The 21,506-nt window shown below is 39.0% G+C and overlaps 2 protein-coding genes across 10 annotated transcripts in view, besides 4 other annotated features; one reads left to right on the top strand and one right to left on the bottom strand.

The window, feature by feature from the left end:
* Positions 1-21,506, bottom strand: part of DCC (DCC netrin 1 receptor) — a 1,195,703-nt gene that overhangs the window by 8,572 nt on the left and 1,165,625 nt on the right. For all 5 annotated transcript variants that reach the window (NM_005215.4, XM_017025568.2, XM_017025569.2 and 2 more), the window contains one exon: positions 569-711. In NM_005215.4, the coding sequence (NP_005206.2) occupies positions 569-711 (143 nt within the window). The remainder of the gene's footprint in view (positions 1-568; positions 712-21,506) is intronic.
* The window catches only part of LOC124904304 (uncharacterized), a 266,099-nt gene that overhangs the window by 219,606 nt on the left and 24,987 nt on the right, over positions 1-21,506 (top strand). The window contains exon 1 of one of the 5 annotated variants that reach the window (XR_007066376.1): positions 21,129-21,214. The exons of the other annotated variants lie outside the window; for them this stretch is intronic. The gene's annotated coding sequence lies outside the window, so the exon portion shown is untranslated. Of the gene's footprint in view, positions 1-21,128; positions 21,215-21,506 lie in introns of those variants that run through there. 5 annotated transcript variants of the gene reach the window in all.
* Positions 15,083-15,649: an enhancer, noted in NCBI's record as "NANOG-H3K27ac-H3K4me1 hESC enhancer chr18:51038049-51038615 (GRCh37/hg19 assembly coordinates)". NCBI's record gives its function as "activates a minimal SCP1, AML or CMV promoter by ChIP-STARR-seq in naive H9 embryonic stem cells {active_cell/tissue: H9 hESC(naive)}" and the evidence as "EXISTENCE:reporter gene assay evidence [ECO:0000049][PMID:30033119]".
* Positions 15,083-16,417: a biological region, named in NCBI's record as "BRD4-independent group 4 enhancer GRCh37_chr18:51037281-51038480".
* Positions 15,218-16,417: an enhancer, noted in NCBI's record as "BRD4-independent group 4 enhancer chr18:51037281-51038480 (GRCh37/hg19 assembly coordinates)". NCBI's record gives its function as "activates an origin of replication core promoter dependent on BRD2, P300/CBP, MED14 and CDK7 cofactors, and independent of BRD4, by STARR-seq in HCT116 cells {active_cell/tissue: HCT116}" and the evidence as "EXISTENCE:reporter gene assay evidence [ECO:0000049][PMID:35650434]".
* Positions 15,650-16,216: an enhancer, noted in NCBI's record as "NANOG-H3K27ac-H3K4me1 hESC enhancer chr18:51037482-51038048 (GRCh37/hg19 assembly coordinates)". NCBI's record gives its function as "activates a minimal SCP1, AML or CMV promoter by ChIP-STARR-seq in naive H9 embryonic stem cells {active_cell/tissue: H9 hESC(naive)}" and the evidence as "EXISTENCE:reporter gene assay evidence [ECO:0000049][PMID:30033119]".

Raw genomic sequence — 21,506 nt, 5'->3', positions numbered from 1 at the left:
AGAACTGCTTGAGCTAAGAAGTTCAGGGCTGTAGTGCACTATGATTGTGCCTGTGAATAGCCACTACCCTCTAGCCTGGGCAACACAGCAAGACCCTGTCTCTTAAAATAAAAAAAAAAAAGGAAGAAGAAGAGTTATATAGTCTTATTTATTTCCAAGAATGCCAAGGTATTTCTTCCTATTGAAAAGAAACACACACACACACACACACACACACACACACACACACACACACACGTATCCATGTGTATATCATGTGTATATGTATATATTATGTACATATATGGGTGTAAAACCACACGTTCTGTAGCTATCTGGTCATATTTCTAAGACTGTCCTTAAGAATCAACTTTTTTACATAACTAAGTCTCTGACATAATTTTTTTTCATAGCTTTTATTTCCTCTTCATATTTAAGTGCAGGAAAACAAAGGAACAAACAACAATAAGAACAACAATGGCCTGGGGTGGCCTGGGGTGAATGGACAGTACTCATTGGTTTAGATGCTATTACACAGCGCCAGTCAATCTGTCCCTTGATGAAGCATGAATTTTAAAGATGCCCTTACATTGGCTGAATCCTCTGTTGGTTTGTGGCTCTCCTCAGACACTTCAGGGGCTGTTGGCACAGACACAGGAAGCAAAGGGGATCTTGCTTTTCCAGCCAACCCAAGGGAGGCTGTTTTCACATGGGTCTTAGGAAGAGTGGGCCCTGAAATAGAAAACACAGTGATGAAAGTAATGTAGAAAACATTCTGCAGAACACTTTCTCAAGTATATACACCATATCCAGGAGATTGGCATTGATTTTAGGTTATTGCTCATTCTGTAGTGTAAAGATGAATTCTGACACAATGAGTGGGCTCGTTTTATTTCTACTAAATGGAAGACAAATTCTGATTAGGCTTCTCCAGATGCAGCTCCACTAGCCATATGTAATTGCAAGTAGATTCCAAATCATGCTGTGGAAAGTTGCCTGGGAGCTCTGGACTGTTCATCACACCCTATAAAGTGTCAGGCAAGCTTATTTGGTGCCAGTCTCGGCTTAGGGCCAGAAAGCCCTGTGCTAAACCACCTAAATGAGCCCTAAGTTGCATAGCAGAACCAAGGAAGATTTGCAGAGTTAGAAGAGATGGTTGCTCTGGTCTACAAATGAGCATAAGACGTTAGAATAAAATAAAATCCATCATGGCTAATTTGATAGACTATCATTTTTAATTCTATTTTGGAACAAAAAAGATGTAATTCTGGTTTTTTTTGTATGGCTTTTGTCAATAAAAGACATTCTGCTGCTCATGAAAATCATAAGAGGCACTGCTGAGTATCAAATAGATGATATTTCTGTTTCCTATACATAAGGGCTGCCTTTTTGGAGGAAACTGAAATTTGCCTTATAAATTCTGCTTAGCTTGTAGCGCTAATACAACCTTGACCTTATAGCTGAAAATAAAACTTTCATAAAGGCTTATTGAATCAGCTAGTACACCTCACATAACTAAGGGGTTATGTCATTCTTAGCATTGTAACCAAGACTTCAGCAGAAAAGGTATTAGAGAAAGCCATGAAAAGACAGTGGCCTCAGTTCTCTTCTATCACGAGAGCTGACATTTTAGTCCTAATGGTTCTAATGGGGTCCTATATTTTGCCAAGAAAAAGTTGTTTGGACTACACTGTGGAAAATAAAATTCTAGCTAATAAAGCTCAGAGGTTACTCTACAATCAGATAAATAGGAGTCATCTGAAGGAAACAATGAAAATAATAAATAAATCTAATAAACCAGCAATCTGCTAGGTGCTGGTCACTAGAAATGGTAAATCCTGACATAAGCATCTTTTCCCATCCCGTGACCTAACATGAAATTTCTTCATATTTATACCTTTTCACTCTTGAACTTTAGGGATCAAAAGTCTGCAATTTGAGTGATTTATCATAAAAGGGTGATATTCTGTTCGTGGTACCTCTGATGAGAAGCGAAATGAAACATGAATCGTTTTCTTCAGAGTGGAAATAATATTTACTGAGTGCCTACAAAAGTCTAGATCTATGCCAAGCATTTTAGTTTCATTTTGGACAAAATAACATGGTGAGGGAAAATTTGGGATTCACAGTAAGTCCAGTCTGCATTTAGATCTGTGCAATTTCTTGTCAACTGAACCTGTCTTGGCCTGTTTTTCATCTGCAAAATAGGAATGATACTAGTAATTTGTTAGGATTAAATGAGATTATGTATTTAAAGTGGCTGGTACTTAGTAACTTGTTCAAAGAGGGCTAACTATTCACGCTGTGAAAAGTTGCCTGGGAGTTGGTGCCAAAAATAGTTATCCAAATGAGGGCTATTTTTAATATTAATCATCTTATTATAATATTATATATTACTATTTTTCAAAACAATCCTGCTAAGTATTCTTATTCTCAGTTCACACATGGGGGTGCCAAAATAAAGACAAAATAAGTAACTTGCCTAAGTTCGCACATTTAGGAATGGGCAGGCGGTGTAAGAATTTTGCACCAACATCTGTCTAACTCCATGGAGCAAATGAAGGATGATCACTAGCTTGTTGACCTAGCCCATCCAATTTACATGGGTTTTTTGAGGAAGCAACATAAATGAACATGAAATCTAGTTCAAGGACTATAAATCTGGGGATAAAAGCTCATTTTTTATCATTGTTTCTCATAACTGACTTGGAATTTAAAGGGAAAAGTAAGACTTTAATCAACTCCAGCATTGACTTAAAATACTGTATTCCAATATTTTTAAAATATATACAAACATAAAACTTGCTATAAGCATCATACCTTATAGTGCTTATCCTATGCTATAAAACAAAAACACATTTAAAGTTAAACAGAAAGCCCTGTGAAAATAGTACAATTTGGATTATAATCATTAATTTAATATGATAAATGAGATTGTTGGGCTAAAACAAAATTGCCATATGAATTTGATACTGTTGCTATATTACAATCATTTTGGGTTTGTCATTCACGCCCAGTTTTCATTATGAACATTTTCCTTCTTTTTTTTTTCATGTATTCAACAACTTATTTATTTTTAATCAACAAGGAAAAACAGTATATATTTATGGTGTAAAACAATGTTTTGATACATGTATATACATTATAGAATGGCTAAATCAAGCTATTTAACATATGTATTACTTCACATACTTATGTTTTGTGTTGAGAACACTTTCAATCAATTCTCAGCAATTTTTAAGTATACAATATATAGTTATTAACTCTAATCGCCACAATATACAATGGATCTCTTGAACTTATTCCTCCTAACTGAAATTTTGTACCATTTGACCAACATCTCCTCAATCCTCTCACCTCACAGCCTCTGATAATCATAATTTTACTATTTCTTTTTTTATTAATATAAATTTAATACTTTTCTCCTGCCTCCCCCTTCTTTTTTTCTTATACTTTAAGTTCTGGAGTACATGTGCAGAATGTACAGGTTTGTTACATAGGTATACATGTGCCATGGTGGTTTGCTGCACCCATCAACCTGTCATCTACATTAGTTGTCCTAATGCTATCCCTCCCCCAGCCCCCTGCCCTCCGACAGGCCCAGTGTGTGATGTTCTCCTCCCTGTGTCCATGTGTTCTCATTGTTCAACTCCCACTTATGTGTGAGAACATGCGGTGTTTGGTTTTCTGTTCTTGTGTTAGTTTGCTGAGAATGATGGTTTCCAGTCTCATCCATGTCCCTGCAAAGGACATGAACTCATCCTTTTTTATGGCTGCATTGTATTCCATGGTATATATGTGCCACATTTTCTTTATCCAGTCTGTCACTGATGGGCATTTGGGTTGGTTCCAAGTCTTTGCTATTGTGAATAGTGCTACAGTAAACATACGTGTGCTTGTGTCTTTATAGTAGAATGATTTATAATCCTTTGAATCCAGTAATAGGATTGCTGGGTCAAATGGCATTTCTAATTCTAGATCCTTGAAGAATCACCATATTGTCTTCCACAATGGCTGAACTAATTTACACTCCCACCAACAGTGTAAAAGTGTTCCTATTTCTCCACATCCTCTCTAGCATCTGTTGTTTCCTGACTTTTTAATGATTGCCATTCTAACTGGTGTGAGATGGTATCTCGTGGTGATTTTGATTTGCATTTCTCTAATGACCAGTGATGATGAGCCTTTTTTCATGTTTGTTGGCTGCATAAATGTCTTCTCTTGAGAAGTGCCTGTTCATATCTTTTGCCCACTTTTTGAAGGGGTTGTGTATTTTCTTCATGTAAATTTGTTTAAGTTCTTTGTAGATTCTGGATATTAGCCCTTTGTCAGATGGATAGACTGCAAAAAATTTCTCCCATTCTGTAGGTTGCCTGTTCACTCTGATGATAGTTTCTTTTGCTATGAAGAAGCTCTTTAGTTTAATTTGATCCCATTTGTCAATTTTGGCTTTCATTGCCATTGCTTTTGGTGGTTTAATCATGAAGTCTTTGCCCATGCCTATGTCCTGAATGGTATTGCCTAGGTTTTCTTCCAGGGTTTGTATGGTTTTAGGTCTTACATTTAAGTCTTTAATCCATCTTGAGTTAATTTTTGTATAAGGTGTAAGGAGGGGTCAGGTTTCAGTTTTCTGCATATGGCTAGCCAGTTTTCCCAACACCATTTATTAAATAGGGAATCCTTTCCCCGGTGCTTTTTGCCAGGTTTGTCAAAGATCAGATGGTTGTAGGCGTGTGGTGATGTTTCTGAGACCTCTGTTCTGTTCCATTGGTTTATATCTCTGTTTTGGTACCAGTACCATGCTGATTTGGTTCCTGTAGCCTTGTAGTATAGTTTGCAGTCAGGTAGCATGATGCTTTCAGCTTTGTTCTTTTTGCTTAGGACTGTCTTGGCTATAGGGGCCCTTTTTTGGTTCCACATGAAATTCAAAGTAGTTTTTTCTAATTCTGTGAAGATTTTCTAACTCAACAATAGCCAAGACCTCATTCATACAGGGACTGTAATGTCAGGTGGTCTTCACTGGATGTGAATGGTTTACCTCTACTCACACACCATTTTTTTTTTTTTCCAAACTTCTGACTATAACCACGGTGTTCCTGGTGCCATCTTAATTGTAAACCCAAATAGGAAGGCAGCCACTAAAAACCTTGGCAGGTACAGATAACCCAGCATGTGAAATTCATGTTGATATTTTAGGTTATTATTTAAGTGAAGGCATAAAGTTTAAAAAGGAATTCACAAAGTTTAAAAGCTTTAAAAAGAGGCATAAACCTTGAGAAGGTATCTACCAACCACATATTTTGAATTGTGTTGCCTGAATTTTGTTTGTATGCCCTTCAAGAATGCTTGCAATGTTCTGATTAAACCTGAATTTATAATAGTCACAAAAGCTGTTCCTCTTAGCACCTTCCAGAAGCTAGCTCTTATCCATTCCTATGTTTAACACAGCAGCTGCATTTTAAAAATGAACATTTGTCTCTATATATTTTTTCACACATCTTTTACTTATTTTTGACCTAGACTCCCTTGATCATAAAACCTATTTATTTTATTTTAAATTTTTCATTTTAAAAACATGTTTAAGAAACTCAGCTACTTCTGAAAATTTACAATTTAATATGTAACCAAACACATGCAATGCATGTTTAACACATTCTGAAAATCAATTCACTCTAACATAGGTATCTACAATAAAAAGTGAAAGGCATAGGCATAGCTTACTATGTAGGAAATTCAAGTAGGGCCAGTGCCTGTTCTGAGAAACGTAAAAGTAAAGATTCTTTTAGAATATACCAGACTGCTGTATATAATTCCATAACATGTACTTCATCACAATTTTTTTGTCAGTTTTACATGCAGAGAAATGAATTCCTAGGCATAGCCTACGGTTATCACGATGGAAATACATTCTTATGGTGTATTTTCTTCCCAGAATTCCAAACACTTAGGTGTATTGCACTATGTGTATCATACTGCATCAACCACACTCCTATTATTACAATAGGGCATGGACATGCCTAAAGACTACCATCCCTCAAACTCATTAGAAAGTTCATTATAATAATTGATTTTCTCTAGTGCCCAGGCAACAGTTATGCATTCAAAATGTAGTGAGTGTTGAACAAATGTACAAGACATGGTGAGCCTCACAAAAGGAATCGAAGACATTGTCTCGGCTCAAAGACCGCACAGAGTGTTTAAACCTCAGATGACTGCCTTTTCTCAAGTAATATTCATAGAATCACAGAAATTTAGAATGCCGGAACCACGAGGGCTCTTGGAGCTCATCGAATGACCTTCCTTTTATTTTGTTGAAGAGAATACTGAGGTCCCTGGAGAGGAAGGTAGAATTAATTTCAATAAAATTCTAGTAGAGACAAAGAATTTAAACAGCCTCCCAGAGTTCATTGTCAGCAGGATTTGACTGGGACACTCTATGGACTTAATATTTTTCTTTCCTTTCCTTGAAAGGGCAATTAAAGGAAAGAGTATGAGGGAAATTTCCCAGGAGAGATTTATTAACAACTAATTAGGCAACCGTGGTCTCAAAATTGCCCTTTAGTTAAGGAGAATAAATGTTTGAAAACCAAGATTTCCATGAAAACATCCTTTGTCGGAAGGCAGACACCATGTTCCTGGTTGTGCATAACTCCATCCCTACATGATGTTTGTATTTTTTTGTGTGTAGATTCAGTGTTCAATATTTCAAGCTTGTGCACTGGTGAAATCTGGGTCCCTACAAGCTCACCAAGCAGTGCTTTTTCCTTAAGTGCTTGTAGCTCACCAAGCATAAATGGCTTCTTTCTTGATTTTCTGGTCTGCATCTCTGTTCTTTCATGGGGCTATGAGACATGCCTTTAATCTTTTGCCTTGTGCCTGAGACCTGATCAGTCACCTTCCCGTGTGTCTAAATTCTCAATCCATCTTCTACACCATTTAAACCAAATGAACATTTTTATGTAAAATAATCAGTCTGCTGGTATGGACTATGTTCAAATGAGAAGGCAATGTAGTCGTCAGGCATGTGGATTAGTGAGTGAGGCCTGGAGCATGGTCCAATCCAAACAGGATACTGGACACCATATTGCGGCCTCTCATCTGCTGATGGACTCACTGCTACTGTCGGGTGACTATTTGTCCTAACCCCGATCTGTTCCTCCACATGAAGCTTTCCTAGATTTCAAAGACTTTGACATTGAAATGGGGCATTGCCACACTTCCTGGGAGACTAACTGGTTTTTTTCTACACTGCTTTCAGAAGCCAGGTTTAAAGCCCACTTTGTTTATGCATCCCTGGCCTCACCCATTCTTGGTGACTCCTTCTTGATAATGGACTGCCTTGAGGCATGAGAGCCTTTGGTGTGCCTGGCAGTGTTTTGACTCACTAGAAGAGAGCCACCATCCTACCCAAGAACTAATAGAAATTATGGCAATTAGGAAAAAACACAAAAACAAACTGAAAACTTATTACTTTGGGATATCAAAATGCTGTTCTTTAATGTTAAGAAATGATAGAATTTTTGATGACTTTTTCTATGTTGGTAGATCTAGATTGTAGCTACAGGGAAAGCTTCATATTTATTTATTCACTTTGGAGAACAACACTTAACACTGACAATTGGCCTAAACATGAACGCTTTTCATAGAACTTCTATGAGCTCTATCAGAAACATATGTCAAAGGAAAAATAAAAATGAAAAGAATCTCTTCCATGGCTCCTAGCTGTGAATATAATCTCAATTTTGGAGTCAGCATCCTCTGGGATCTCTCCCAAATATGAAAAGTGATTTTCAAAATGTGGTTAAGAAAAAAAAAAAAAACACTTCATTTTGGGAGAGGGAGGTGCTCAAGGCTGGGTGGGAGCTAGTGAGAAGAGGATCAGTACTGGGGCTCTGAGAAGTTGGAAAAATCACCTTTCATTTTGCAAATAGGCCTTGAAAGATGAAACGTTTCCCACTCTGAAGTCTAAGCTGATCTATATTATTATTTTCAATGATGGTAAACTGTGTGTGATCTATACAACAAATTCCAAGTATTTAATGAGTGCTCAAATAAATATTCCAGATACTGAGGAAGCATTTTAGCCTAGGACCTAGTTTTGTGACCTTGGCTCGATAGTCTAATTTCTTTGGATTTTGGGGTCTGTATGTCTATAAATGTAAGAAATTTAATTTTTAAGTTATTAGCTATGAAAATTACACAAGGATAATATAGCTATTCTACCTGTACTTAACTTTACATTTGGATTTCTTGCCTCTCCTTAAGACTTAGGAAGAATTAGTTGATCCATTGAATCTAAAGGAATCTCCAGCCAGTTAAAGCTTAACTCAAATTGCAATAATTTATTTTTAAACTAGTGCTTTGTAAAAAATAAATGTTCTGTCATTTTTTTCTTAAAATTATTAGTGAAAAGCTATACCAACAATTAAGGTTTTACTGCTTTTGTATTTCAAACAGATACTCTAAAAATAAGTGGTATTACGTTTCTGAGGTTAAATGATCCATGGCTAATTGACAAATTTAAATTTACGAATGCTCAATCTGAAGCCACTGCAGAATTTCCCCTATCCAGGGTGCATGTTGGAGAAGTTTCAGGCGACCCTTTGGTGGAACGCTGGCTGTTGATGTGCTAAGTAAATGTTCTTACACTGATATACAACTAATTAAGTGAGCATCGCTTTGGTTTTAGTGTTATCTCCTCAGCAGGACCCACTAAGAGGAAAAAATAAAAATGGGCTGGAGTTCTGAGATGGGCTAGCAGTGTGCCTCAGGTGCAGAAGAGCAGCCTCAGCAGGAATTTACTGTTTTAAGCTTCATTTTCACAGTACAGTTATTAAACATTTCATTTACTCATTAGGTACATAACATAGGACTGCCAGGTGCAGACTCCTGCTAGCATCTCTCTGCAGAAGGTTTTCCCATGTAAAATAATTTTTTGGGGTGAGAAACATTAGGCTGCAGCCGGAATGCTCTAAAAATGCTCACCAGGGTCCGATCAGAGGCCAATGCACAGCATGGTTTTGATTTCACTATTAACTCACATCTTCCCCACTTTTTCCTATTTCCTACTTCATTTTCCATTCCTTTACCCTTAAGAACAAAGTTAAAAAGGGTGGCTTTGAAGAAGCCTGGGTTCTTATCTCTGCTTTGTCTCTGATCCATTCTGTGATGCCAGACAAAATGAAATGGACTCTCTCAGTCTAGTTTCCCTGTGAACCAGAATATTATTCTTATATATACTTATTATTAAGTAACTAGCCTGTGCTCGGGTTATCTGGGGGCAGATATAGAAGTGTCACATAATCATTTACACTTCTGATAGGCAAGGAACTTTTGAGGGCATGGGAGAAATAAAAGATATGTATGGGAAACTTTGTGTAATACTCTACCCTTTCATCTTCAACAAATATTGAACAAAAAGAGAGTAGCCGCATTTACTCAGACACAATAGCCTCAGGCATCCCTCATAAGTGATCGAATTTCAAACTATAAATTTTGCAACAATCTTAAGGCATTTTAGTCTACCATGTGAATTGTACTTTAAGGGTGATAAACATCTCTAAATGCCACTTCTGGGGAGAGAAACATTGTGTTCTTCTCCCAACCTTCTTATTTCTCCTCAAAAATAAGGGAAACAGCCTATTTGACCACTGGGGACGTGCTGATGAGGTGCCCTGCTCCCCTCTCTGCTCCTTTCTCCTCCTCCCATTGTAAGAAAGGGCTACTCTGAGTCACAAGTAACGTGGCTTTCATTGGGCCACCTGTCTGTGAAAAATGAGACGAGAGGGTTAAGGTACTAATGGTTACTACTCAAGTTTTTAAACCTGCTTGGGCTTGACATTGGGCATTGACATTGAAGACCCTATATCCTTTATTATTATTATTATTATTATTATTATTATTATATTTTAAGTTTTAGGGTACATGTGCACATTGTGCAGGTTAGTTACATATGTATACATGTGCCATGCTGGTGCGCTGCACCCACTAACTCGTCATCTAGCATTAGGTATATCTCCCAATGCTATTCCTCCCGCCTCCCCCCACCCCACAACAGTCCCCAGAGTGTGATGTTCCCCTTCCTGTGTCCATGGGTTCTCATTGTTCAATTCCCACCTATGAGTGAGAATATGCGGTGTTTGGTTTTTTGTTCTTGCGATAGTTTACTGAGAATGATGATTTCCAATTTCATCCATGTCCCTACAAAGGACATGAACTCATCATTTTTTATGGCTGCATAGTATTCCATGGTGTATATGTGCCACATTTTCTTAATCCAGTCTATCATTGTTGGACATTTGGGTTGGTTCCAAGTCTTTGCTATTGTGAATAATGCCGCAATAAACATATGTGTGCATGTGTCTTTATAGCAGCATGATTTATAGTCCTTTGGGTATATACCCAGTAATGGGATGGCTGGGTCAAATGGTATTTCCAGTTCTAGATCCCTGAGGAATCGCCACACTGACTTCCACAATGGTTGAACTAGTTTACAGTCCCACCAACAGTGTCAAAGTGTTCCTATTTCTCCACATCCTCTCCAGCACCTGTTGTTTCCTGACTTTTTAATGATTGCCATTCTAACTGGTGTGAGATGGTATCTCATTGTGGTTTTGATTTGCATTTCTCTGATGGCCAGTGATGATAAGCATTTTTTCATGTGTTTTTTGGCTGCATAAATGTGTTCTTTTGAGAAGTGTCTGTTCATGTGCTTTGCCCACTTTTTGATGGGGTTGTTTATTTTCTTGTAAATTTGTTTGCATTCATTGTAGATTCTGGATATTAGCCCTTTGTCAGATGAGTAGGTTGCAAAAATTTTCTCCCATTTTGTAGGTTGCCTGTTCACTCTGATGGTAGTTTCTTTTGCTGTGCAGAAGCTCTTTAGTTTAATTAGATCCCATTTGTCAATTTTGTCTTTTGTTGCCATTGCTTTTGGTGTTTTCGACATGAAGTCCTTGCCCATGCCTATGTCCTGAATGGTAATGCCTAGGTTTTCTTCTAGGGTTTTTATGGTTTTAGGTCTAACGTTTAAGTCTTTAATCCATCTTGAATTGATTTTTGTATAAGGTGTAAGGAAGGGATCCAGTTTCAGCTTTCTACATATGGCTAGCCAGTTTTCCCATCACCATTTATTAAATAGGGAATCCTTTCCCCATTGCTTGTTTTTCTCAGGTTTGTCAAAGATCACATAGTTGTAGATATGCGGCATTATTTCTGAGGGCTCTGTTCTGTTCCATTGATCTATATCTCTGTTTTGGTACCAGTACCATCCTGTTTTGGTTACTGTAGCCTTGTAGTATAGTTTGAAGTCAGGTAGTGTGATGCCTCCAGCTTTGTTCTTTTGGCTTAGGATTGACTCGGTGATGCGGGCTCTTTTTTGGTTCCATATGAACTTTAAAGTAGATTTTTCCAATTCTGTGAAGAAAGGCATTGGTAGCTTGATGAGGATGGCATTGAATCTGTAAATTACCTTGGGCAGTATGGCCATTTTGACGATATTGATTCTTCCTACCCATGAGCATGGAATGTTCTTCCATTTGTTTGTATCCTCTTTTATTTCCTTGAGCAGTGATTTGTAGTTCTCCTTGAAGAGGTCCTTCACATCCCTTGTAAGTTGGATTCCTGGGTATTTTATTCTCTTTGAAGCAATTGTGAATGGGAGTTCACTCATGATTTGGCTCTCTGTTTGTCTGTTGTTGGTGTATAAGAATGCTTGTGATTTTTGTACATTGATTTTGTATCCTGAGACTTTGCTGAAGTTGCTTATCAGCTTAAGGAGATTTTGGGCTGAGACAATGGGGTTTTCTAGATATACAATCATGTCGTCTGCAAACAGGGACAATTTGACTTCCTCTTTTCCTAATTGAATACCCTTTATTTCCTTCTCCTGCCTAATTGCCCTGGCCAGAACTTCCAACACTATGTTGAATACGAGTGGTGAGAGAGGGCATCCCTGTCTTGTACCAGTTTTCAAAGGGAATGCTTCCAGTTTTTGCCCATTCAGTATGATATTGGCTGTGGGTTTCTCATAGATAGCTCTTATTATTTGGAAATACGTCCCATCAATACCTAATTTATTGAGAGTTTTTAGCATGAAGGTTGTTGAATTTTGTCAAAGGCTTTTTCTGCATCTATTGAGATAATCATGTGGTTTTTGTCATTGGCTCTGTTTATATGCTGGATTACATTTATTGATTTGCGTATATTGAACCAGCCTTGCATCCCAGGGATGAAGCCCACTTGATCATGGTGGATAAGCTTTTTGATGTGCTGCTGGATTCGTGTTGCCAGTATTTTATTGAGGATTTTTGCATCAATGTTCATCAAGGATATTGGTCTAAAATTCTCTTTTTTTGTTGTGTCTCTGCCTGGCTTTGGTATCAGAATGATGCTGGCCTCATAAAATGAGTTAGGGAGGATTCCCTCTTTTTCTATTGATTGGAATAGTTTCAGAAGGAATGGTACTAGTTCCTCCTTGTACCTCTGGTAGAATTCGGCTGTGAATCCATCTGGTCCTGGACTCTTTTTGGTTGGTAAGCTATTGATTATTGCCACAATTTCAGATCCTGTTATTGGTCTATTCAGAGATTCAATTTCTTCCTGGTTTAGTCTTGGGAGAGTGTATGTGTTGAGGAATTTATCCATTTCTTCTAGATTTTCTAGTTTATTTGTGTAGAGGTGTTTGTAGTATTCTCTGATGGTAGTTTGTATTTCTGTGGGATCAGTGGTGATATCCCCCTTATCATTTTTTATTGTGTCTATTTGATTCTTCTCTCTTTTTTTCTTTATTAGTCATGCTAGTGGTCTATCAATTTTGTTGATCCTTTCAAAAAACCAGCTCCTGTATTCATTAATTTTTTGAAGGGTTTTTTTTGTGTCTCTGTTTCCTTCAGTTCTGCTCTGATTTATTTCTTGCCTTCTGCTAGCTTTTGAATGTGTTTGCTCTTGCTTTTCTAGTTCTTTTAATGGTGATGTTAGGGTGTCAATTTTGGATCTTTCCTGCTCTCTCTTGTGGGCATTTAGTGCTATAAATTTCCCTCTACACACTGCTTTGAATGCGTCCCAGAGATTCTGGTATGTTGTGTCTTTGTTCTCGTTGGTTTCAAAGAACATCTTTATTTCTGCCTTCATTTCGTTATGTACCCAATAGTCATTCAGGAGCAGGTTGTTCAGTTTCCATGTAGTTGAGCGGTTTTGAGTGAGATTCTTAATCCTGAGTTCTAGTTTGATTGCACTGTGGTCTGCACTGTTATAATCTCTGTTCTTTTACATTTGCTGAGGAGAGCTTTACTTCCAAGTATGTGGTCAATTTTGGAATAGGTGTGGTGCTGAAAAAAATGTATATTCTGTTGATTTGGGGTGGAGAGTTCTGTAGATGTGTATTAGGTCTGCTTGGTGCAGAGCTGAGTTCAATTCCTGGGTATCCTTGTTGACTTTCTGTCTTGTTGATCTGTCTAATGTTGACAGTGGGGTGTTAAAGTCTCCCATTATTAATGTGTGGGAGTCTAAGTCGCTTTGTAGGTCACTCAGGACTTGCTTTATGAATCTTGGTGCTCCTGTATTGGGTGCATATATATTTAGGATAGTTAGCTCTTCTTGTTGAATTGATCCCTTTAGCATTATGTAATGGTCTTCTTTGTCTCTTTTGATCTTTGTTGGTTTAAAGTCTGTTTTATCAGAACTAGGATTGCAACCCCTGCCTTTTTTTGTTTTCCATTTGCTTGGTAGATCTTCCTCCATCCTTTTATTTTGAGCCTATGTGTGTCTCTGCATGTGAGATGGGTTTCCTGAATACAGCACACTGATGGTTCTTGACTCTTTATCCAATTTGCCATTCTGTGTCTTTTAATTGGAGCATTTAGTCCATTCACATTTAAAGTTAATATTGTTATGTGTGAATTTGATCCTGTCATTATGATGTTAGCTGGTGATTTTGCTCGTTAGTTGATGCAGTTTCTTCCTAGTCTTTGATGGTCTTTACATTTTGGCATAATTTTGCAGCGGCTGGTACCGGTTGTTCCTTTCCATGTTTAGCGCTTCCTTCAGGAGTTCTTTTAGGGCAGGCCTGGTGGTGACAAAAATCTCTCAGCATTTGCTTGTCTGTAAAGTATTTTATTTCTCCTTCACTTATGAAACTTAGTTTGGCTGGATATGAAATTCTGGGTTGAAAATTCTTTTCTTTAAGAATGTTGAATATTGGCCCCCACTCTCTTTTGGCTTGTAGGATTTCTGCTGAGAGATCAGCTGTTAGTCCGATGGGCTTCCCTTTGAGGGTAACCCGACCTTTCTCTCTGGCTTCCCTTAACATTTTTTCCTTCATTTCAACTTTGGTGAATCTGACAATTATGTGTCTTGGAGTTGCTCTTCTCGAGGAGTATCTTTGTGGCATTCTCTGTATTTCCTGAATCTGAATGTTGGCCTGCCTTGATAGATTGGGGAAGTTCTCCTGGATAATATCCTGCAGAGTGTTTCCCAACTTGGTTCCATTCTCCCCATCACTTTCAGGTACACCAATCAGACGTAGATTTGGTCTTTTCACATAGTCCCATATTTCTTGGAGGCTTTGCTAATTTCTTTTTATTCTTTTTTCTCTAAACTTCCCTTCTTGCTTCATTTCATTCATTTCATCTTCCATTGCTGATACCCTTTCTTCCAGTTGATTGCATCGGCTCCTGAGGCTTCTGCATTCTTCACATAGTTCTCCAGCCTTGGTTTTCAGCTCCATCAGCTCCTTTAAGCACTTCTCTGTATTGGTTATTCTAGTTATACATTCTTCTAAATTTTTTTCAAAGTTTTCAACTTCTTTGCCTTTGGTTTGAATGTCCTCCCGTAGCTCAGAGTAATTTGATCGTCTGAAGCCTTCTTCTCTCAGCTCGTCAAAGTCATTCTCCATCCAGCTTTGTTCCGTTGCTGGTGAGGAACTGCGTTCTTTTGGAGGAGGAGAGGCGCTCTGCTTTTTAGAGTTTCCAGTTTTTCTGTTCTGTTTTTTCCCCATCTTTGTGGTTTTATCTACTTTTGGTCTTTGATGATGGTGATGTACAGATGGGTTTTTGGTGTGGATGTCCTTTCTGTTTGTTAGTTTTCCTTCTAACAGACAGGACCCTCAGCTGCAGGTCTGTTGGAATACCCTGCCGTGTGAGGTGTCAGTGTGCTCCTGCTGGGGGGTGCCTCCCAGTTAGGCTGCTGGGGGGTCGGGGTCAGGGATCCACTTGAGGAGGCAGTCTGCACGTTCTCAGATCTCCAGCTGCGTGCTGGGAGAACCACTGCTCTCTTCAAAGCTGTCAGACAGGGACATTTAAGTCTGCAGAGGTTACTGCTGTCTTTTTGTCTGTGCCCTGCCCCCAGAGGTGGAGCCTACAGAGGCAGGCAGGCTTCCTTGAGCTGTGGTGGGCTCCACCCAGTTCGAGCTTCCTGGTTGCTTTGTTTACCTAAGCAAGCCTGGGCAATGGCGGGCGCCCCTCCCCCAGCCTCGCTGCCGCCTTGCAGTTTGATCTCAGACTGCCGTGCTGTGCTAGCAATCAGCGAGACTCCGTGGGCGTAGGACCCTCCGAGCCAGGTGCAGGATATACTCTCATGATGCGCCGTTTTTTAAGCCCATTGGAAAAGCCCAGTATTCGGGTGGGAGTGACCCGATTTTCCAGGTGCCGTCCGTCACCCCTTTCTTTGACTCGGAAAGGGAACTCCCTGACCCCTTGCGCTTCCCAAGTGACGCAATGCCTCGCCCTGCTTTGGCTCGCGCACGGTGTGCGCACCCACTGACCTGCGCCCACTGTCTGGCACTCCCTAGTGAGATGAACCCGGTACCTCAGATGGAAATGCAGAAATCACCCGTCTTCTGCGTCTCTCACGCTGGGAGCTGTAGACCGGAGCTGTTCCTATTCGGCCATCTTGGCTTCTCGACCCTCTATCCTTAAACTTCACAAGAATTGCATTTGTTAAGCAAACAAGGCAAGGCCTGACTCCAGAAGTCCCAGCCACCTCTCTACTGTCTGTTTCAGTTTACAGCTAGCAGGTCGAATATTCTTGTAGTCAGGGAGGGAGGAAGAGGTCTTCCACCTACTCCTACCATTTTCCAAAAGGCTGTGATTCTCTGCAATCCTTGATTCCCATCTGGTTATCAGTACCTTGTCTCTATTATTTTTATAAACTAAAACCTAGAGAGAGAAAGGGTAAAACAGGTAACCTTTGTCCCACCTACAGGTACATAAACTGCAGTAAAACACCTTTTCCTACATTTTCTTATCTGTTCTTTAAAATAGAACTTTTAAAGCATACCTTATTGCTCATGCCTTGGGGATAGGAAAATCAAAATTCAAAGAAGATAAAGGACTTGTTCAAAGCCACTCAGCTGATAAGTAAGGCTTAAATTATATGTTCTTTCTTAGACAAAAATAAAAAATTCTACAAGGTAGGCTTTGATAGAAAGCTGAGTGAAACAGAACAGGCCAGACAATCTTAGAGGAGAGGAGTATGTGAGAGTGAGAGAGAAGGAGAAGAGACAGCAGTTATAGTGTGGGATGGTGGCAGGGGGTGATGAAAGAGGTAGAAGAAGGAATAGGAGTAAATCAGCATATTCCTGCTGTCTTCTCTATGTTGATCCCAGCTAGACTTGTTCCAGTTTAAATGGGGAGCCAATATAAATATAAACATCACAGTATCATGGAAGTGAAAATTTCTGAAGTCTTGGGAAAGAATAACAAACAAACATAGTACTTGGCTTTAGAGCTTCTTTAGTTTGAATAATGCAAAGGATGAAAACTGTCTTCAAATATCTTTCTTGTTTTTGCACTCCTTTCTCTCAACTCCTCTTTAGCACTCTCCAGCCTCCTCAAACACATACTCTTTTGACTTACGGCATTTTTATACCCAATAAATGATTTATGATAATATCTTCTGGGAAATTATAGAATACAATTGAACTACTTGACTGCTCAAATAAACATTTATTTTAATTAGCTCCCATTCTCTGTGATTTAACATTATCACTATTCATGGGTTCACTTACCCTCCCTACCACCAGAAAAAATATTAAAATTTATTTTACAGATTGCATATGCTGTTCAACCTGGGGTGACACTGGCTGAATGGGAAATTTTTATTAAATGATGAGTCATGTTTGGGGAAATGTGTGTGCAGTCATTAAGTCTCTGCAGGAAGTGCTTTTCAGTGTACCATTTGAGGGGTGCTAAGGACAGGTTAGGATGACCCCTTTCGAAGGACAACACATCCCATTTCCCCACAGGAGCTCATCTTTTGGAGAAAATATACCATGGACAGCGGTGGCTCTGATCTACTGATGTTCATTTAGGCAATAAAAATAAGAGATTGTTGCAGAAGAAGGACAAATTTATAAATACTAATTTAACTAATTCCCTCATCACATGTTGAAAAATGTACAAAGCCTCAGGTGTTTCTATGAAAATGAATAAATTTTGCAGAGTTTCATTTGAGTAGAGCACAAGTACTCAGCTTTTGGCCTCAGATTCAGAAAAGTTGTTTCAGTACAAGGTTTTGGAACTGATCTTGAAAAACAAAACAAAAGAAAAACAGACATTGGTTTATGTTCCACAGGTGAGCTACATTGAGGGTGATGACAAAACAGCAGGTCAAGTGGTTCTTAACCTGTTATAGATAATAAATCATCTGAGACACTAATGAATGCTATGAACTCACTTGCTAGAAAAATGTACAGGCACACCCACAGAGAAATATCCATTTAATTTCAAGTGAGTTACCAAACCCACAAGTTCTTCCATGAACCCCAGGTTAAGAGCATCCAATCTGTTCAGAATCCAAACTACCTCATAATCTAATCTGCAGAGGGTCAGCCTCAGCAAAGCCTAGAATCTTTTTAGCAATTCAGAACCTCAGGCTCTACTCTAGATCTGCTAAATCTAAATCTGCCTTTTCATAATGTCTGCAGGTGATTCCCAGGCACACAAAACTTGAGAAACACTGCTTTTGATAGCCATGTCCATGCTGAGCTTAGAAGTTAATATTTATATCTCAAATCATGTTTGGACATTACCCATACTGTAACATGCTTAATAAAAACAAAATGTATAATTTTTCAGTGAGAAGACAAAGACATCAGTAGTGTTTTACATGTGCTCAATGAGAAATAACCTCTTTTTCTCACTTTCAATAGCTTACTTCCTACTCCTCACTTCTTATCCCTCTTTGCTTTGCTATTGATTCTCTTTGCAGAGAGTTGGTGCAGGGAATAGCTAAACTGGAAGTTAGAGCTGGGATCTAGGAAACTCCAGAAGCTTTAATCACATTAAATTGGTCCATTGTGAGGAGCAAGTCGGGAGATGCAGTATTTATGAGAGAGAAGAAGCCAGGTAGTGACCACCTAATCTGTACACCTGTTGGATATAAGGCCTTACTGGGGACCTATGCTATTGTAATGTGGTGGGATCATTTGCAGTGTGACCATTTAAGTGAGACAGTGAAAATGGCTTCCTGGCTGTCAAATGCATTTATGATTTGAGAGCAAGCCCTGTCCAAATGAAAGAGGCCACTCTTTTCTCTAGACTAAGGGAACGACATTCAGACAGCTCTGAGCAGTTGCTCTGACCTCCTCTGCTCACCGTCTCTCATAAGGTGATGAAAACTTCACTGGGCTCAACTTATCAGGCAATGTGTTCTCCAGATTTATCAAGTATTCTAATGTGTCAGCTCAGGCATGTGTGCACCAAGCAGCCTGTTTCTATTAAATGAGGTACCACTCAGAGCGTAGCCAAAAAGAAAATAAACAAATAACTATATTCTTTTAAGTGCAACACTAAAACTAAAAGTTAATTTTTGACTCAAGAGCATACTAGGTTATCGTGGTTTAAAAAAATGCAGTCTTAGCCAGGCGCGGTGGCTCATGCCTGTAATCCTAACACTTTGGGAGAGTGAGGTGGGTAAATCACTTGAGCCCAGGAGTTTGAGACTAGCCTGGACAACATAACAAAACCTCATCTCTGCAAAAAATACAAAAATTAGTCATGTGAGGTGTCGCTCACCTGTAGTCCCAGTTACTCGGGAAGCTGAGGCGAGAGGATAACCACTGCCAGGGAGGACAAAGCTTCAGTGAGCTGTGATTGAGCCAGTGCACTCTAGCTTGGGTGACAGAGTAAGAGACTGTCTAAAAAAAAAATGTGGTCTCGGCCGGGCGCGGTGGCTCATGCCTATAATCCCAGCACTTTGGGAGGCCGAGGCGGGCAGATCACAAGGTCAGGAGATCGAGACCATCCTGGCTAACACGGTGAAACCCCGTCTCTACTAAAAATACAAAAAAATTAGCTGGGCATGGTGGCAGGCACCTGTAGTCCCAGCTCTCGGGAGGCTGAGGCAGGAGAATGGCGTGAACCCCGGAGGCAGAGCTTGCAGTGAGCAGAGATTGCACCACTGCACTCCAGCCTGGGTGACAGAGCGAGACTCCATCTCAAAAAAAAAAAAAAAAAAAGTGGTATCTGTTAGAAAATTCTTACTCAGGTGACCTCAGAAGTAGAAAAATACATAAAACTTGCTGGGTAAAAGAATCAGAAATGTCAAAGAAGAATGTTTTAGAAGAGCACTTTGAAAAAGACATTAAAAATAGCAGTCACTATAAGTGCCATTATTCTTATAAGTCTGTACGTGCAATTATTCATTTCAAAATGAGAGGCATACGGTTTCATGAATAGGGCTTACTTATCATTGTTTTCCACCAAAAAAGCTTGTAGAATCCCTTTTACCACAGAAGATAAAGGCATTCTCCTCTAAGAGCCTTGATATTCCGGTAAATAAGGAGATCCTGGAGATAAGAACATCAGTCCTCCTGCAAGCCTAAGATGAAAGTCAATGCTGGAACACACACAAGATGTTTAACATGACACCTGAATTCGTTTATAAGTCCCTGCTAGTAAGATAAGAGTTATAAACATTCAAATCGAAGACTGTTTTTCACACAGTCTTTTAGGTACTACAGGTCATGTCTTTAGAAATGGGTTGCTGATGGTTAAACTGTTTAATATGACAGAGACTTTTTGTTTGCTTTCAGTATGTTAGATTTTTCATAACACATTTTCAATAGTCCATTAGCACAGAGGTTTATGTGAGCACTTTATTTCAACATTTCCCCTTGCTGCCAAAGAAAGCAACTGTAACTTGATGCTCATTGAAGAACTTTAAAGATCTGTCAACTACTTAGAATACTTAAAATGTATACCATGAGTCTCAAAATATTCAAATTAAAACCTTTCTCTTACTCATAGTCTTTCACAAAACAAAAAGGAGAAAGGGAGAATATCTACCCTTATTTCTGTAGTAACTGAGGTTGTAGAATTTCATGTTTCCTTCCTCCTTAAAGAGGAAAGACCATCTGATTTCACAGATGAGAAAAGTGAGATTCAGAAGAGCAAAATCAGTTCTGTAGTTGGCATGATGGAGAGACTAGTCCTTAGGACTCTGACTGACTTCCACTGATCCACACTCCTCCTCCTTTTTTTTTTTTTTTTGAGATGGAGTCTCTTGCTCTGTCACCCAGACTGGAGTGCAGTGGCATGATCTTGGCTCACTGCAACCTCTGCCTTCCAGGTTCAAGTGATTCTCCTGTCTCAGCCTCCTGAGTATCTGGGATTACAGGCACATGACACCATGCCCGGCTAATTTTTTGTATTTTAGTAGAGATGGGGTTTCACTGTGTTGCCCAGGCTGGTCTTGAACTCCTGAGCTCAGGCAATCTGCCTGCCTCAGCCTCCCAAAGTGCTAGGATTACGGGTGTGAGCCACCACACCTGGCCGCCTCCTTTCTATGAACGCAGAGAATTCTATTCTTCTTTATGGAGGCCACTGCATGTCTGTTTATTTTCATAAAAATAAACCACTGAATTTCCGAGGGCTGTGGTTTCAAGTGTCTTTTCCACTCTATGCAATTTATTTGGCTTTAGCATAAGATGCTATTTATAGTTCAGATTATTAAACATGTTATAAAATGTTCATGAATTTGTAAGTTATTTCATCGTATCTGCCTTTATCTTTTTCTAGTACCTGATATCTAATCCTTACAAACTTACAAGTCGCTCTGGTTTGTCTAAACTCATTATTAGACTTGAAATTGAAGAACTGCAGTCAAATTCTGGCTCTCACCTTAATTATTTTATTATATTCTGACCAATTCAACCAACATTCGAGTGTCCACCATATGTAAGGGTGGCGATGAAGGTCCTAAGAATAATGACACATGACCCTGGAAAAGTTGAAAGGTATTCAACCTCTCTAAATATTGACCTCTGTATTGGTAATGCTGGTCAAAGTTACTTCTCAGGTAGATATACATTTATTTGGAAATGTCCTCTGTAAACTATAAAAAGGTGACAAAGTATAAAGCATAAGCCTTACTACTTTTATGTAAGTTGATTTTTAAAAAGATGCTTTATTTTCAAAATATTTCAAAACAACAACAAAATCTATACAGCAGTAGTTAACCATGTGACCCATCAAGTGTATAAGAAATGTAAAAGGAATATTTACTGCCTTGAAAACAACCTACTGCCC

This window comes from Homo sapiens, chromosome 18 (assembly GCF_000001405.40).
Source record: "Homo sapiens chromosome 18, GRCh38.p14 Primary Assembly".
Taxonomy (NCBI): Eukaryota; Metazoa; Chordata; class Mammalia; order Primates; family Hominidae; genus Homo; species Homo sapiens.
Note: the sequence above shows the minus strand (reverse complement) of the source record. Positions and strands in the feature narration are given on the sequence as shown.